Below are 19,484 nucleotides of genomic sequence, written 5' to 3'. Positions count from 1 at the left end.
AGTTAAAAAGAACTGCTCTGTGTGATTTTTGGAAGAAAGCTTCGGCTTTAATAATTGGATTAGTTCTCTCTGAGGGCTTCCTTTCCCACAGTAGCTGATGACGTTTATTCAGAAAACCTATGATTCTGAAATATGGAGCCTGGTTTATTTTCCTATGTCTCCATTTTACTGTTGCTACTTAGGAAATAGCTTTCCAAATCTCAAAAATCAGGAACCTCCACAAAACACATTTCAGGAGATTGTGGCTTGCTCCTAAGTTCTTGAGGTATGGTTTTCAGAGTCTGTCCTTGTTTACTTTTGGACATATGCACAGATTGTTTAGAAACTGGCAGAAATTAGGCATGCATTTCATTCATTCAACAAATATTCATAGAGCTCCACACTTTCCTGTTTATCTTGATAAAAAGATGTTTTTAATCTCTCAGTGACAAATGCTAAATCAATCAATGGCAGCAGCCAAAGAAAAAGAATGAGGTGTGATCCCTGAACCCCACAATGTCATCTAAATGGGAAGTAAGATCACCTGATCATAGATGGTAAAATCTTTGCCAAACCAAGTGAAAATAGGAAGCTATGTAAGATAATTTGGAACACTTATCACTCTAAAAAATAAATTTCTTGGAGGTGTACTTAGGAAAGGAGGCTGTAATATAAGACAAGGAAAGGCCAAAGGCAAGATGTGTGCATTTCATTCTGTTGAATATAATCTTTTCTGTATTCCCTTCTCTTTCTACCCACCTCTCATCTTAAAAATTTAGCAAAATTCCAAAGATATGCATCTAATTAAAAGGCACAGAATAAATCCTTGGGCTCCTTTTAGAATGATATTAGCATCCTACTTATGCTTAAGTGACAACAAAAGGATAATGAAGTTCTTTATGTAATGTTTTATTAATGAGTTTAATTAGCCTTAGAAGAGAGATAAAGCAGAGTCTGTTTAATTTAACAGAAAATATACTTAGGGTGAGTAATTTCTGAAACAATGGTCCATTTGCGAGGACTTAGGAGTTGAAGAGGATGAATTAAAATGCAACTAAAGCAATGTGTTTAGTATCCCCTCTCTCCCACTGAAGCACGGTAAACTATTCATGTGCCTTCCTATGGGTTATTTTCTTTTATTGACACTGGCCTTCTCTGCCTACTAACTCTTCTTCTTTTCAAAATGCTCTATATTAGAAGGATTTTTAAAGATAAAGAATCCCACTTTTTAATATACTGCTATATAGAGTATTTTGTGAAAAATAAATTCAAATACCTTAGCTACCTATTAAAATTCAACGACTTGAGGAGAATTGGAGAAAGGTTTTTTTCCTGGAGTCATACATAGAAAAAAATGTGAGTTTCTTTGATGGGGTGACTGGCCTATTAACTGCAATTTCACAGTATTATAATGTTAACTTAGTAACTACAGAAAGTAACTTCCCTCAAAAAAAGAAGAGCACCTGATACTTTTCCTACCACTCCTTTCTAGATCCCTGAGGCCAAGAAGCTCCATTTAATGATACATTAGTGTTAGATTTTGGGGACTCTAATAGACTACATGTGAGATAATAAATCAGTTATCAAAGCATGATTTATAACCACTATAGGAAGTTCTAATGTGTGAGGCCTGTTAGCTTGCAAGTAACCAAACTTGTATCCAATTAACTGAACAGAACAGAACAGAACACAATCTAAGAGTCTGAGGAAAACAAACATTGTTATAAAAACTATAGCTACTCATAAATGCATTTCCTGTGGATCAACTATTAAAATAAAATGTACAGTTGATTCCTTAACATTTACGCATATGTATAACAATGTTTTTCTAAATTACTCTATTACTGAAAAATAAGCGTATGTATAAAAGTGCTTCACGGGCACTTGCGTACTACTTAGCCATTTTGTAATATTTATTGAGCACTCAATAATATTTTAGATAATGTGTAGGAGAGGAGAAGATACAGACTCCACTCTTGAGGCATTTACAAAATATTAAAGATATTAAAGATGCAGAATAAGTAACAACAGCTAATATTTATATAACACTTCGAGGATTTCAAATCACATGAATATACAAATCACTTTTACGAATATCACATGAATATACAAATGAATCGATGCCCTTTAACAGAAAGGAGTTCAATGAACACTGGTAGATATGTCTAGAAGTACAGAAGGAAAAGAATCTGATCACTAACTTTACCTCGGTGGCAGATAATCGCTTATCTCCATTATCACTTCCAACTCCCGAATCAGAATCCTTCTTGCTGAGATAGATGCCATCAATATTGAATTCATTTAAAAAAGATTAAAATCACAAAGTTCACACCAAGAAACATCAATTTATATTCTAATAATAATTTTGCTACGCAAATTTTTATTATTACCATAAGGCAACAAATCAGTCTAGTATTAAAGAATATTAAGACATGGACCTAATGAAAATCAGACAGTAGCACAGTCTAAACACAGGATAAGATAAAATTCTTTGTGTTCGGGGTTTCATGGATTTATGCTCTAATCAAGTGGCTTGCTCTTAGATGTCAAGGTGTTTCTTAAAAATAGTTACCAATGTTCTTATTTTACTGCATCTAGCATATAAAAAATTAATAAACCACATAACTGCTTTTACCCCTTATGTTATGAAATGTGGTTACTTTCAATAATTCTGTAAATTTTTATCCAGGGATTAAGTACATAAAACAGTGTACATATTTTAAGCATTATATAAAAGTAACATTAGAGTAGTCCAAAATTTTAAATTTACTTATGTAGCAAAAAGTGAAGGAAAAGATTTCTGCAGTGAAGACTTCTTAAAAAGAACCTGCATTTCTATAACTGTGTTCAGTGTGAGAATGTTGTTTTTTGGAAGCTCAAGGCTTGATTTATGCCACAAGAAGCTCTAGGATGTGTGAAAGGGTTCTAACTTTTCCATTTGAAACAGGAAGTGGCGACAAAACTACACATACTGCATTTTTAAAAGACCAAAAATAAAGCCTTCATTTTTTTCTTAACATTGTTCTGGAGGCATATTCAACATTAATAATTGCTAAAAAGGCATGTCTGGGCTCAATATAGTTATTTTGATAAGTAAAAAATATTCACATTTGTATTCTAGATCTTATTTATAAGTATGCACATATTTACTCAGGAAGAACTGATTATTGATTAGGAGACAGATGATATTTGAGATATACCAAAATATTCTCAATAGCAGCAGTTTTTTCTTTCATATCCCAATAGTTTCTCAACTTCTTGTTTTAAATACAAATTAGGTGATTAAACCAAATTGTTCTGTTTTGCTTTGTTTTCTGCAGATACCATGGTGACTTAAAACAAACAGATTTTGAAGTCAGCTACCTGGAGGGCCTTGGCCTAGGCAAATTTTAAACTGGGGCTTTGAATGAGGGCATGACTCACCCATCTTCCACGTGCTGGTGTAAATGTGGCCTCTCCATGGTGTGGAGATAAAGGGAGTCAGCTGTCTTAATCTGGCATGCTTGTATGCTCAGATACTTAAATATGTGAACTTTGCCCTTTGTGCAAATCTACAAAGAAATTAATAGCAATCATATTCATTTTTCAATGACAAAACAAAATGTAAGTATCAAATCCTTACTCTGTATATTTCAATTTTCCCAGTTTCATTTTAAGTAACACCCTACCAATGTACACTAAATCCGTCCTTTCCAAAACATGTAAGAATTTTGGGAATCATTCCCTCCAAATTCTACTTTGAATAGAAAATCATGCTTAAGCAATTTCCCATTTTTTCTTGCATTAAACTATAAAACTCTAACAAAAATGTATTCAAGTATATATAGTATAAAAAATATAAACTCAGATGACCAGCCTGGTGAAATTCCAGTTACAAAAGATGAGAAAAGCACAATTATTTTCGAGCTGATAGAAAGCAATTCAGAGCCTAAAAATAATTGTAGATTTAAGAAGCTGTTAAATTATTTAAAAAGAAAATAAACTTCAAAATATTTACATGGTTAAGCATCTGAAAGCATAGCACTTCATTTTTCTCTCATGCAGTTTAACATTTGAGCTGGAGACTTGTCTCTAAATAATCAATAACCATGTTTTAAGGTGTTTAAATTCCATTTTCCAGCTAACATTCAAATAAGGAATATATGGTTGGGAGCAGTGGCTCACGCCTGTAATACCAGTATTTTGGGAGGCCAAGGCGGGCAGATCCCTGGGGGTCAGGAATTAGAGAGCAGCCTGGCCAACATGGTGAAATCTCGTCTCTACTAAAAATACAAAAACTATCCAGGTGTGGTGGCAGGCGCCTGTAGTCCCAGCTACTCAGGAGGCTGAGGCAGGAGAATCACTTGATCCTGGGAGGCAGAGGCTGCAGTAAGCCAAGATCACACCTCTGCACTCCAGCCTGGGCGACAGAGCGAGACTCTGTCTCAAAAAAAAAAAAAAAAAAAAAAAATCAATATACTCCATGAAACAAATTCAAATAAAATGATAAATAATAAGACATTTAATTCTGGAGTTGGAGTGATTAGCATAGTGAGCCAAGTGCTGGTGAATGGATTTGATGCAATGGAAGACAATTTATTGTTTCTCACATTCACTCAAGGGTTCACTGTGACTGTTTATAATCAAGTTTTATTCAGTATTATTCTCTTCAGCAGAGAATCAGAAAACTGGCCTTTGGAGAGTTGCTTAAGCATGATTGATAGCATTGGGAATCAGAAAACAATACCCCAAAATGAAGGTCTCAGAAGCAAAAGTTTTTCTCTGACCTCTCCTGCCCTCCTGCCCCTCGGTCCCATTCTCCCAAGGAAGGGAGCCTTACAAATTTGAATCTTCCCCAAAGCTGGTCATAGAAACCAAAACCCCTTTAAAACCTCAAAATATTACTGGAACTTTCCCTCGGCCTTTCTGTGTAAAAACTGGCCATAAAGAAATGATCTGACTTCTCTTGTTTGACAGTAGGCCATAAGACCCCCCATCGCAAAGAGGGTCCTGCCCCACGCCCAGAAGGAAGGAATGATCCTCAGAGAGCCCAAGAAGAATCCAGACAAACAGGCCCTGCTGGGTTTCCTCACTCAGTCTATTAACATGAGATCATACTCTTTTTGTCCAATCATATTTCTACATGGCTGTCCATACTTTGTAAGCATAAAAATGGACAATTTCCCCTGTATCTTTGGGTCTTCACTCTGGAGGCTTCCACGTACATGTTAATAAATTTTGATGCCTTTTCTCCAATTAATCTGCCGCTTGCCAGTGATTAGTGATTTTCAGCAAACTTTCAGAGGGTGAAGGGGAAATTTTCCCTTGGCTCCTATAACAGCACATCCCATGGGGCATTGGCTTTGCTGCAAGACCCCTCACCTGTGCTGGAGGAGACTGCAGAGGGTTATTCTCAAGTAGTAACACTTGCAGCTGCTTCATCTCTCTAAAACAAATTGGAATCACGAGCACTTTGTTGCAGGAAAAGTCAAACTTTACCAAGGAAAGATCTACTAGTTCTAAAATAATAGAAAAAAGAAAAAAAGAAAGAAAAAACCTTAGAAATCAATAAGATTAAATGGCTAATCATTCAAAAATTAATGTTCTGCTTCTCAGGAAAAATACAATTGAGTATAATCAAAGGCAAGTTGTACATTAGGAATACATGGTGTGTGTACATAACATTTTACCAAAAGAGGGAAAATCTTTTATTGCATGCCCCAAAGTTTTAAATTGTTGTTAGTTCTGATAAAAACTGGAAACACTTAACATTTACAATATCTATTGTTTAAAAATACTTTTTTTTTTCAGCAAAAGAATCACGCAAGCCACATCACACAGGACATGTTTATGTTTTAACTTCAAACTGTTTCCCAGTAGCACTCGCTAGCCCATGAGTAATACGTTAATTACAGAATATTCTTATCTAATCAATGTATTTGGGCTGGCATTATCCCAGAACTAGCTACACTAAATATATTCATGAGTTTTTCAACTGCATTTTAAAAAATAAATGTTATCCAATTCAGAATTTTCCGACAGGCCCTGTAATTCTGGTATGATGAGACTTTATTCTACAGCTTTTAAAAAGTCTTCTGTAGCTCCACTCAGAAGACAGAACATTACATTTAGCTTAAAATCCCCACCCAGTGGCACAGTAGACACTAAGTAATTTCAAGCATTCAAAACGACACTGGCAGCTGCTAGGAATAAAGTCAAATATATTCCATAGAGCAGAGAGGCTGGGCCACGCCAGACATCTAGGGTGATGCAGGCAAGCCACTGAGATCTCTGTGTGAGGGGCTATGAAGGGTTCACTCCAGAACGAGGCCTCGGAACTTTTGTTATGGGATCTGTTAAGGGATGGAATATTGCGCTTTAAAACACTCAAGGAATTCTAAAGTGGACGAAGGGCAAGAATTAGACAAAGAAGAGTAACTGAAGACACTGACCTGGAGTAAAAATTCACACTATTTCTCCTCTACCCCTACACTGCTCTTCAGTCTTCACTTTACTCAGCTACGTTATGTCAAATTCCAGCAGGAAAAGATTCTAGTAACCAGTACCTCTCTCAGAATTCAAGGCACTCTGGGAATGTAAGGGACTGTGTTTTTTAAATTGCCCTGAGTAGTTAGTTCATTGCTCAACCCAGCTTGTCTCCCCTCTGGCAGGATAAGGGATTGACCTCAGGCCACACTAATCCTGGAGGACCCTGGAATCATGAAAGTGAAACAATAGGAAAAGCAAGATCCCCTTTCACCTCACAGCTTGTTTGTAAGATGATAAGAATTATGAAGATTCCATGATAAGAGGAACACCTCCTAGCTGTTTCCCCTAGCAATATCAACCTATCTCCGAGATGGTTAATTAAAGTTAGCTTAGCAAATCACTGGAAAAATTTAACTGGACTCTGGATCTTTAGCAATTCTTTGCCACTTAAAATGAAGACTTCAAAGCAAGACTAGAGGGCTAAGTTCATGGAAAACATAGCAGGAGAAAACTTACAGGTAAATAAAATAAGTGAAGGTTTTATAATGACCATTTCTTTTCTAGTTCCAGTTTGGGACACAATTGCCATCATAGTTCAGGAAAACAGGAACCAGACAGTTTCACAACAATAAAACGAAGGAGAAAATGATAATTTTGCAACACCAGCCCAGGAAAGGTAAAAAAAAAAGTGGAGTAGAGAAAGGGAGTAAGAAAAAAAAGAAGCAGAAGAACAAATCCCACTCTCTCTCCCCACTGCTAAGAGAGGCAATGAATGGCTATTTTAATCCCCTCTTCATTCTAGTCCTAGAAAGAATAAAATATGGTCTTCTTATTGCAGTTGTTGTAGTAAAACCACCACAAAACTGATATGAGTAATCAGACCACAATTTTGGTGTTTTCTTTTTTCATCCTCAAATTGAAAGCATACGAGGAGGGGTATCCAAAGAGGAAAAACATATAAGTAAATAGGGAAAGTCTTTACAGTCACTGACTGAAAGTATTTTCAATGGTCTTTTGTCAATAGAGTTCTCCAGAGGGAAGCAAAAAGGAACTTGATATTGAGGAAGTTATTTTTTTAAGAAATTTCCAGTAAACTGAAGTTTTAGCTTTGAGTATATTCTTAAAATATCAAAACTGAGAAAACATAATTATGGAATAACTGATCTTTTTAAGGGAAAGGAATGCTTTTAAGGTAAGAAAATGAGGAACCAGAGAGAGACAAAAATCTAGATTTTGTGAATATACTTTCCACATGTTTCCAGACTATGACAGGCAATTGCAAAATGATCAAATTAATTTTTCCTTTTGAAAATGAGAGTTCAATTATTTAGGACATTTTCACAATGATTAACATGAGAGCTTAAGTTTAAATGAAAGTTTTCTTTAACTCATAAAAGGTTGTATGCATATAAATTTGCTGTTAATAAGCTTTCCTTTTGTGCTTGCTTAAACCAAATACAAGTTTTGTATATCCAAAAAATGAGATTGTACAAGGACAAATTGAAAAATCAATCAATATTTTTCAACCAAGTCATCTCAAGTACTGAAGTAAAAAATGTTGAGTTTCTAACTCTGCTTCTCTAAAATGCTAGTCAGTATGAGAAAGGTGAAAGATGGCAAGCGGACTTGAACCTCCCATCTATAAAGCACATTACCTTTTGCAAAGTTCTTTCCCTTTCATGAGCTCCATTTTCTTGCCTTATTATGAAGCATTTCAAGCCAAAGATCAAGATGCAGAGACAGGATAATTAAAATCAGGCATCCATAAATTGTTCCATTAATGTCAGATTAACCAAATGCTGACTGTTTCCAAGTACTACAGGGTTTTGCTTTGAGAAATATTTTTAAATATATGTTTGAAATCAGCTATGTCTAGAGACTTTAAACAAAAACAGTGGAAATCAATGTAATCTCTGAAAACCAGAGTATGCTTTGGAGAAAGCATTCAGGGTTCCAGGACTCATCCGTTCATTCCTGATCCAGGTCCAAACCCAAACACCAAATGCAGATCCACTACCCCCTATGAGGCTGCTTTCATGCTCTAAATGGTATGCAGTTTCTGAATAAATATACATATCTGCCTTGAACTCAACACACTACTGGACAGACATGCTATGGAAGCCCATGGCTGCAAAGCAGGGCTGTCTGAGGTCTTGGCATTCATGCTGGATGGTTGGGAGCCATGTCTCAATGCTGAGGTTCTGCTGTCACCACTGGTGAAACTTACCAAGACCACCAGTGAGACATTAGTCCAAGTATCACTCCAGCAGAGGCAGCACCCTCACCTCAGAACAGATTCTAGACACTGGGAGTTCCCAACCAGTGCTCCCAGATCCCCAAGGCTAGAAATCCTGACAGACAGGATCTGTAGAACAAAGTATGTCCCCGAAATTTCACGTTCCAAAACGTCACATACCCATACCCAAAACAATTCATGTCACCCCTTGTGACGGGCTGGCTTGAGTCCTTCCAAAATTCATATATTGAAGTCCTAACCTCTATTACCTCAGAATGTGACTGTATTTGGAAATAGGGTCTTTAAAAGGGTAATTAAGTTAATTAAAATGAGGTCATGAGGGCAGCTCTAATCCTTGGTGTCCTTGTAAGAAGAGGAGATTAGGACACAGACATGTGCAGAGGGGAGATGACGAGAAGACCCAGGGAGGAGAAGATGCCACCCACAAGCCAAGCTGAGAGGCCTCAGAGGGAACCAACCCTGCTGGCACCTTGATCCCAGGCATCCAGCCTCCAAAATTGTGAGAAGATGAAGTTCTGTTATTTAAGCACCCCATCTGTGGTTCTTTGTTATAGTAGCCCCAGCAAACTAACACACCCACGTCCACCCCCGTGCCCCACAGCATTACCTAGGGGAATGATTTTGTTGCTGTAGCCCTTGACTAGAATCACAGCCTGAACATCACTTTTTTGTTATCTGTATGTGAAATTCAAATCCTAATTAAGTAGTAGGCACACACACACACACACACACACACACACAAAGATCGACCCTCTTCACAAAAGTAAACCCCCCAAAACATAAAATAATGCAAGTCTCCCATTTTCTTCATTTTCCCTCTTTCTTTTTTACCTTGTGGTAAAACTTTAAGGTAATTTCTTCTGACATTCAGTTCTCGTAGAGATTTCAACTGACCTATCTGCTGGGGCAACGCTGTGATCTCGTTGCAGCTGACATCCTGTATCAAAAGCAGAGAGAGAAATAATAAACATCTTTTTCCAGGAAATCAAGCATTTCATGTGAAATCTCCTTAAGGAATTTAAATATTTGGACAACTACACAGGTACACTTTTATATTCATCTCCAGGTCCCTAGCATTAAGACTCAGCACAGAGAAGAGAAAGCTGAACATTTTAAACTCCCTCACAGGAGAGAAAAATGGAGAAAGGGTGGACATTAGTAGCATTCGCCAGCTGCTTCACCAGCCTCTGGCCTGCCACTTTGACATGCTTCGATTTTACTGAATTCTCACCACAAACCCATTGGGCAATATTGCTAGCCTAATATTTACAAATCAAAAAGTGGGGCTCAGAAAAGTTTAGCCAGTCGCCCAAAGCATGCAAGTGCCAGAGTTAACACTAGAAATGAATTACCAGCTCACCGTTTAGCCACTATCCCATCGTGCCTCTAAACAAGACTACAATGCATCTTATTTTACCAAACTCTCACATTTTGCAGTGAAGAACTAGAATATTAATGCAATGTTTGGATGCACTATTTATTTAAAATGGAGTTCTTCACCACAGGCTAGAAATCTTACAGCTGACCACCTTGCCATACACTTCACAAGCAATTCTTGTCTTCTTTGCTTTAGGAAGCAAATACTCAATTAAGCCTTGATTGGAATCCCCTCTTGACACATGAGAAATGGAGGCCTTGACATTTATAATCTTCTATATCCTTAGGATCTCCCTGAATCCCACTCTTCCTCTTGGCTCTGGGAGCCGTGCTGGGCTCTTCACTCCCCCACACACCCCCAGCTACTCCTGCAGTGTAGACCAGTGCTCTCTCTTAGCTGGGTGCTATCATGATCTCCTGACTGGTTTCCATACATCAGTCTCCGCCTTGGATGCATCCTTCACAGAGCGGCCAGAGTGCAAATGCCATCATGCTGTTCACCAGCTTAAACACTTGCAGAGGCTCCTCAACAACTATAAAGTCCAAACTGGGCAGTAAGGCCAGTATCTATGATGAGGTCTGTCCATTTCTCCAGCACTTTTTCTCTGAATGTCCCTCCTCACAACCTACACTCCAGCCATGTTACTGCTTCTGGCAGTTTTCAGTATTTCATAATTCCCAAACTTGTTCATGCTCCTTCCCTGCCTGATATGCCAGTCCCCAATATTGTCCTCTTGTCCCACTGACTCATTTTTAAAGACTTAATTCAAGCCTCAACCTCTTTCGTGAAATCTTTCACGAGGCTTCCCCCACCTCTCCCACTCTGATCTAATGCCCAGGGAGACTGACCACTTCTTCTTGTGTGGTCCTTTAGATAGCATGTCACTGTAAGTCATTTGCTCATGGGTTTACATTCCCCTTTAAACCTATGAGCTCCTGGGTGGGAGGGACCATGTCTTATTCATTCCATCCTCCCACTGCCAGGTGGAGTGCCAAGTATAAAGTAAGGGATCAATAAATGTTGGATCAAACTTCTAAAATCCACTTACAGTGACACTCCATAATACTGTGGCTCCTTCTGTCTCCAGGACCCTAGGACCCAGGATGCTCCAACATACATACCAAATCCCATGCAGGTCCCACTTGGCATCACAGAACTAAAGATACAAATGATTCCAGTGAGATCAAGGCCTTAAATATCCCGCTTTACTTTTGAACCTGGAAAAGCTCTCCCCTTTCACCATAGAAGGCAGCAGAGCCTCGTTTCAGAAATCTGTTTCACTTTCATTCAAATAAGATGAACTCATCATCGACCAATCCAGTGAACACCCCCAGGCTCCACATTTAGACCAGGCTGTACACAACACAGTTGATCCCTGCCCTCTAACCTGGTCTCATCTAAAAGGCTTCAGGTGATCTATCAACCTGTCCTCACCAGGACAGTGCTCAATGGATACCACCCGATGAAGAGGAACAGTATCACTCTTGCTAAAAAGGAATGAAGTTGTCCTCTATAAAGGCTGAGTGTGCACAGTGCAGATACCTCCCCAAGCTTCTCTGTACAGCTGTCTGATGGGGGAGGTGGGGTGGCACGGGCTGAGAGCACCGGGTGTTCAGCAGCATCACCCCCAACTGCGGTTGCTCTATCCCTCCTGGCCCAGAAAAGTCACACACAAGTTTGAGAAAAACACTTCCAGTGTTTAAAACAAAAACAGAAACAAACTCCACAAGCACATCTGCAGAGACAAAAACGTCAAAGGAAGTAATTACAGAATTAGGAGGTCCAGAGATCGTGTTCAGTCACTCTCAGCCCCTCGCTGAGTCAGTAAATTGCCCTGCCTTTCCGAATGTATTTCCACATGGGAGAAGAGAACAGTGAAATGCCATCTTTTCCCAATTACGGGGGCCTTTGCTCAGTCACAAGAGCCAACAATCAAATGCTTTCAATGAAAGCTTTCTTTGCCTTAACTAAGTTACAAATAAGCAAAAGGTGCCATTCCATCCTATTTTAAAAGAGTCCTCACACAAATACCACACAGGTGAGTCCTAGAAATGCAGGAAATCAAATCCTTCTATGGAACTCATGACCAGATACAGTCACTTGGGTGATGTTGTTGGCAGGAGAAATGGGCGTGCTCGTGGGGAAGAATTAGAAGGAATTATTTGCCATCTCTAGAGAAAATGGACGTTATTGGCATCTAAAACAAGTTTTTTCAGTCTTGTGAGTGACAGCACGAGAAAGATCCTTATATAAATTATGGAAATCACAGATTTTCAATATGAAACTGACAATTTCCAGAAGCTTCAAAGACATAATTTTTTAAAAATCTTTCTCTGAATAAATAAGGAAGGAGGAGAGGAAAGCAAAAAGATAACAGATACATTTAGGTAGCACGTTATTCACAGCATGAGATGAAACTAAGCCTTATTCCATTTTTTAGTGTGAACTATACTCACCTTGCTCTTTGCTGGTCATGGTTGAGTTAGCTAGGAAATCAAAATATGCTGTTTCTCTAATCATAAGGTGATTTTTTTCCATCGTATGTTTCTAACATAATAGCCTTATTAAAAAATCAACTCCCCCTAGCGATATTTGAAAACTTATTTGGCAGTAGGGAAAATGGTCAATTTACTTTAAAAAACTTCCTGTAACGATAAATACAAGTTTTTTTCCTTCTGATTTAGAGGACAGGATATCTGTAGACAATTCAAAACACAAAGTCCAATTGTCCATTCACATTTTGGAGGGTATATGGTGAAGGTCAAATTATTTTAATAGTACTCTGCACTGTTGTCAATTACTTCCTGTCCTGACAAATAATGGGGGGAAAACGCCCAAGCAGATTTAGCACATAAGATAACATTTCACTACTGTGTAATCAATATTGTAGAAATAGTGCAAAACTCTATTCCCACAAGGCATTGAAACTTGCCACGTTTTAAAAAGGTTATAAATTCATCACAAAAATAAAACCCCATGGGTCACTATCTGAATTAGCTGGGGGTTAAGGAGAAAGAAACAGGAGATAATAGTCTAGGTGTTTGGGGATAAAATACTCCTGTTTTGAAAATGTAAAAGCAATATTTCTAGAATGGCCTTGTTCTCTAGAACACTTTTGTTCAAATTCAGCCTAAGATAAGGTATGAATTTTACAGACTGATTTAAAGAAGATACGATTTAGGAAAATGAATGTAAATAAAAACAACACTAATGCCTCAACTTCGGCAATTAGTAAGAATTTATCAGCTTATAAATTCCATATTCAGTTATTTATTAAAATAGTCAAATGAATCCCTTCTGAATTTTCTATTAGCCCTAAGCTATGTCTTAGAGAATGATTCCAAACTTCAGTGAAATCATAGCACCCTATAGTTAGTACTATAATACCACAAATACACAGGCAGATCAGAAAGAATCATGAGCATGTTATAAATATTTACTGAATTTATTCTTTTTGATAGAAACGAATCTAATTATAGTAATATAAATACTCAAGTTTAAGTTTTTTATAGACCAGTCAGTCCAACTTTGTCATTTAGATAAAAAACAAAATAGAGAATTTGAACTGTGACTTAACACATACTTACTTTCCACTGGTCATCATGTTTTTAGGTAACCAAAAGAAAAACTTTAGAAATAAGATTCTCTCCTCATCACAATAAAAAGAGTCTCTAGAAGTATTAAAACCATGTTGGAGTTTAATATATTTTTGTTACTAAGTGCTCGTTGCTAACTGACCTTCAGAATGCAAAAATAACAAGGATTTAAATTCGGAGAATAAATTCAGGGATTATTAAACTAGGTTATACTCACTTTCAGAAAGCAATATGGTAAAAGAGACTAGAAGTTTTTTTTGTTTTGTTTTGTTTTGAGACATTGTCTCGCTCTGTCGCCCAGATTGGAGTGCGATGGCGCGATCTTGGCTCACTGCAAACCTCTGCCGCCCAGGTTCAAGCGATTCTCCCGCCTCAGTCTCCCAGGTAGCTGAGATTACAGGTGTGTGCCACCACACATGGCTAACTTTTTTTTTTTTTTTTTTTTTTTGTATTTTTAGTAGAGACGAGGTTTCACCATGTTGGCCAGGCTGGTCTCGAACTCCTGACCTCAGGTGATCCACCCGCTTTGGCCTCCCAAAGTGTTGGAATTACAGGCGTGAGCCACCGTGCCCGGCTGACTAGAAGTATTTTTTTAAGGAATGATGTCTAGTGAAAACCAACATAGGCCGGGCACGATGTTTCATGCCTATATTCCCAGCACTTTGGAAGGCCAAGGTGGGCAGATCGCTTGAGCTCTGGAGTTTTAGACCAGCCTAGAGAACATTAGGAAACCCTGACTCTACAAAAAGACTTAAAAAATTAGTCGGGCATGGTGGCATGCACCCGTGGTTTCAGCTACTCGGGAGGCTAAGGTGGGAGGATTGCTTGAGCCCGAGAGGTCAAGGCTGCAGTGAGCTGTGACCATGGCACTGCATTCCAGCCTGAGTGACACAGTAAGACCCTGTCTCAAAACAAAAAGAAAAAAGAAAAACAATATAAATACTGTGTCAAGATGATCTTGGTTACAGAATAATTCCAGTAAGACCAGGACACACACTGGAACTGCAGGTAGTATTTGTACACGTGACCTTGCTCTGACACTTAGGTTTATGGTAATACTGCTTGAGATGTATTTTTGTAAGAATCTAGCTCTTTATTTAATTGAATAAAATGCAAACGTTCTGACAGGAACTGCAAGCTACTAATAGTAGCCTCCTATCACGTAGCCATGCCCTTTTGTGGAAGTGCATTTTGTATGACTCACTGTGTAACTTTAGGTAAATGTCTTACCCTTTCTGTGTCTCTATCAAAAGAACAGGTAAGGATTAAATAATTCTAATTATCCTCCAATATGAGGAAAGTCCATTTGCTACATCAGAGATAATGAAATGATTTTGGTTGAAACACAGGTATGTAACTAACCGGGAAATGTCAATTTTGATTTCTTAACAGTCAAAAACCCTCAATGCTTGTGGTCAGAACTTGCTGTCTTTCCCCCCACCCCACCGAGACGGAGTCTCTGTCACCCAGGCTGGAGTGCGGTGGCGCAATCTCGGCTTGCTGCAACCTCCACCTCCCAGGTTCAAGCGATTCTCCTCCCTCAGCCTGCTGTGTAGCTGAGATTACAGGTGCATGCCACCATGCCTGGCTAATTTTTGTATTTTTAGTAGAGACAGGGTTTCACCATGTTGGTCAGGCTGGTCTCGAACTCCTGACCTCGGCCTCCCAAAGTGCTGGGATTACAGGCATGAGCCACCGCACCCGGCCAGAACTCGCTGTCTTAAAAAGAAAATATGTTCATTTAAACTTGAAACTTTCTCAAGAAAGCTCTGGGATGACAAATTATCACCTTTCAACACCAGTGTCTTTTTCCAGAGCAAAACTCTGTTGCACAGTTCTCCTAAGTTTACAAACACACGGCCTACCCCACTGCTCTTCAGAAGAAAGGCAGAAATGGAAGCACAGAGGGCCTTGCGCAAGCCCTGGGTTTCCAATCATCCCACAGAAACCAGAGGTTAGGAGGCGCCTCCAGAGACAATGAATGGACAAACAGCATGGCGAGCACGTGAATTTATGCCTCCGCTGTTATCTCCCTCAGAGATTGGAACGCTACCCAAGCAAATAATGAAGAAGGGATTTTCCTCAGCAGCTGCTCAATAATCAATCTTTGAATCCAAACTCTCCACACAACCAAACATTTCATGAAAAAAGAATAAAAAATAGCATATCCAATCAAGGCCAGGAAATGCACCTTCCAACAAGTCGTTACTTGAGCCAGGCCTTGTGAGATTTTTGATTAGAAAAGCAGGTTTTAAATCAGAGATACTGTGTTCTCTTATGTGAAGGTAAGAGCTAGAAGACATGATTTTCACACACTGCATGACTTCAGAGAGGACAGAATTGAAAAAAAAACATCTCTGGACCACAACATGTCACCATGTACAGGGAACCAATGAGAAAACTCTTCTTTGGCAAATGCCCCATAAAAGGCTCTCAATTTTATTGTGTTCTAACAGTGTGTTTGTTTTTACAGCTGCCTGTTAATTATAACACATGGCATTTATACAGCATCTCTTAACAAATATACCTCATCCATCAGGCATGGTTTAGCAGTAAAAGAACCATGTTTCCAATATGTTAACAAGGTTTTAATGAGTAAAATGAGATTTAGCCAACACAAGTCTACAGATCCCTTCCCTGACTCTTGGTTCCACAGTAACAAAACATTAGTGAGACATTGACCATTTGTACCAAACCTTTTTTTTTGTAACATTTTCCTCCCACAACTTTAATGGAAAAACCACTAGGAGTTAAACCAGGGAACTCCAAGGAGAAAAATCACAGCCCCACTCCATGAGGGGCTTACAGTTTCGGTGAAGAGACAGTGCTGTATTGTGGTGAGGACGCTGATTAAAAAACCTGGTTTTGACTCCAGCTCTACCTCTTCATATCCTTGTGGCTTTGGCTAAGTAATTCTAAAATTGAAACTTATTTGTAAAATATAAACATGATACCTACCTTGCTAGCTTATTTTCAAGACTATATGAAATAATACATGTATACCTAGCAGAGTGCCTGGTATATAGCAGGTGCTCAGTAAATGTGAATGCTTTATCTCTTCCCCTTATAGAAAGCACAGGCAGATAGACGTACAAAGCAACATATCCATACTGCTACAGCAGTGAGGCAACAGAGCACATAGAAGTCATTCAGAGCAGCCAGGAAGGTCAGAAAGTTTCAGATCATTCCCATCTGAAATGACCCTGGAGGGGCCAGCTCCATGGAGCTAAGATTCCATAAGTTTTCCTGCACCTGCAACAATGTGGAAATACAACCTGGCTGCTCTTGTTGAGTCAAGAAAAGGACATCTCAGTAGTGTCTCTTTGTGGCTTCCTCATGGGAGGGGGAACAACTGCTTTTCGACATTCCCTGCACAGTCTCAAATGGCAGGACAAGGCAGTGACTGAATGGGAATGCATTAAAAAAAGATCTTATATAATTCTAATGTATTTAGAAAGATAAGATACCATTTTCCAACTCCAATTCCTTTCACAAATTAGAAAGGACAACTGCTTTGTTGTAGATGGCTAAAGTTTTTTTATTTTATTTATTTATTTTTTTAAGGGATTGCTGACTCTGGAATGTTCACTCACACTTAGAAAAAAAGAGAGTTCACAATTCTGACCAAGCATGGTGGCTCATGCCTGTAATCCCAGCACTTTGGGAGGCCAAGGTGGGTGGATCACTTGAGGTCAGGAGTTCGACAGCAGCCTGGCCAACACAGTGAAACCCCATCTCTACTAAAAATACAAAATGTTAGCTGGGTGCAGTGGTACGTGCCTGTAGTCCCAGCTAGTTGGGAGGCTGAGGCAGGAGAATTGCTTGAACCTGGGAGGCGGAGCCTGCAGTGAGCAGAGATTGTGCCGCTGCACTCTAGCCTCGGCGACAGCCGCTGCACTCCAGCCTGGGTGACAGAGCAAGACTCTGTCTCAAAAAAAAAAAAAAAAAAAAAAAAAATTCCATTTGGAATACTCTGAGTCTAATGTGAACAATTTAAAAATATTTCTTCTAAAATAGTTAACAAACAATGCTTAGAGCCTAATAAGCTGAGACACTGTCTCGGCGCTAAAGGGCTTCAAGTATTCTGAATGCTTGGGGTGCTCCCAAATCTTATAATAAGTTGGTTACTTCGTGACTACAAAACAGAAGCCTCCCACGGCAATTCTAGAATTACTTCTGGCCCTCCAGGGAATTTTTTTTTCCAATTGATAGCTAAAAATAATGATATGGTTACCTATAGTAACACTACTATTTTAAGCAAAAAGATGAAAGATAAGTGAGAATGGATGGAAAATAATCTTTTTTTTAGACCGTGACCTTAAGCAAGGCCAGTCCCTCTTTGTGGTTAAATAATGACCACTTATTAAATTTTTGCCAACTTCATAAGTAAATGCTTTTCCAAAGATCACGCTTGCTCATACACAGGGGCAGGGAACGGAAAGAACACAGGTGACGGAGCTGCCGAATCCAGGAGGGTGGCCACTGAACACCAGAAATGTGGCCAGTCCAACCTGTGATGCACTTTCAGAGTTACATACACACAGGATTTCAAAGACTTAGCATGAAAAAAAAGCACCTAAAATATCTCATTAATATTTTTTATATTATACAGGTGACGAAGTAATAACGTTTTGGCTATTTCAGGTTAAATAAATATTATTACAATTAATTTCACTTGCTTCTTACTTGGCTATGTATCTACCAGTACTTTAAAAATCACATTTACTGCTTACATTATATTTCCACAGGACTGCGCTGGGTGAGGGTGTTTCAGCTTATGTTACAATTTAGCTACACAGGGGTGACCTTCCGTATGTCATGCACTGGCTTTCTGCCTCGGGTTTCTTCATTCGTAAGATGTCAAGAGTTTGGACTAAATGCCTTTTACAATCCCCTATCACTCTAAGATCCTAGAACCTGTGGGTTCAGCAGTTATTGCTGGTGGAGAAAAGACACAAGAACCAGGTGAAGACAGTCCTGTAATGCAGGGCAGCCCTCGTTAGAGCTGGGGCCAGGACAGGGTGCCCAAGAAAAGCATGGGGTGTCCCTTAGAGCCACCCGACAGCCAGTGTGTCCTGACGCTGGAGACAACGCTGTTTACACGTCAGCCCTGCAGCTGACAAAGGGTATTTGAGGAAAGCCCTGCTCTAGTATGCGGCTGACTCTCAGGCTCAGCACATGTGCCACCTGCTAACAGATGAGCTGGTTGACACAGCTCTAGAGCACAGCTGATGGAAGGCATGCGGTGTCATTTACACCCAAGGTTCATGGGACAGAAGCACGTATCAGCACCAAAAAGTTCCAGAAGATTGATCTCACCCATGTGCCACCCATCTGCACGGGACCTCAAATAATGAAAAAAAAAAGCAACTTGTCAGCTTTATTCATAATTGGCAAAACTTGCAAGCCACCAAGATGTCCCTCAGGAGGTGAGGAGATAAACTGTGCAGGCAGTGGAATATTATTCAGCACTAAAAAAAATGAGCCGTCAAGCCATAGAAAAACATGGAGGAAACTTAAATGCATATTACTAAGTGAAAGAAACCAACCTGAAAAGGCTACATACTGTATGGTTCCAACTACATGACATTCTGGAAAAGGCAAAACTATGGAGACAGTAAAGATCAGTGGTTGCCAGGGTTGAGGAGGAGGGAGGGATGACACAGAGGATTTGTAGGGTAGTGAAAGAGACACATGTCATTATACATTTACCCAAACCGATAGAATGTACAACACCAAGAGTGAACACACTAATGTAAACTGTGGACTTTGGGTGACATTGATGTGTCCGGATAGGTTCACAGAT

General features: G+C 39.1%; 1 protein-coding gene across 5 annotated transcripts in view; it reads right to left on the bottom strand.

Moving 5' to 3' along the window:
• Positions 1–19,484, bottom strand: part of LRCH1 (leucine rich repeats and calponin homology domain containing 1) — a 199,872-nt gene that overhangs the window by 61,660 nt on the left and 118,728 nt on the right. For all 5 annotated transcript variants that reach the window (XM_017020483.2, NM_001164213.2, NM_001164211.2 and 2 more), the window contains exons 4-7: positions 9,536–9,641; positions 5,341–5,477; positions 3,403–3,530; positions 2,186–2,249 (exon numbers count right to left, since the gene is read on the bottom strand). In XM_017020483.2, the coding sequence (XP_016875972.1) occupies positions 2,186–2,249; positions 3,403–3,530; positions 5,341–5,477; positions 9,536–9,641 (435 nt within the window). The remainder of the gene's footprint in view (positions 1–2,185; positions 2,250–3,402; positions 3,531–5,340; positions 5,478–9,535; positions 9,642–19,484) is intronic.

Source organism: Homo sapiens, chromosome 13, assembly GCF_000001405.40.
Source record: "Homo sapiens chromosome 13, GRCh38.p14 Primary Assembly".
NCBI lineage: Eukaryota > Metazoa > Chordata > Mammalia > Primates > Hominidae > Homo > Homo sapiens.
The sequence above is the reverse complement of the archived record's forward strand: the minus strand, read 5'-3'. Positions and strand labels throughout refer to the sequence as shown.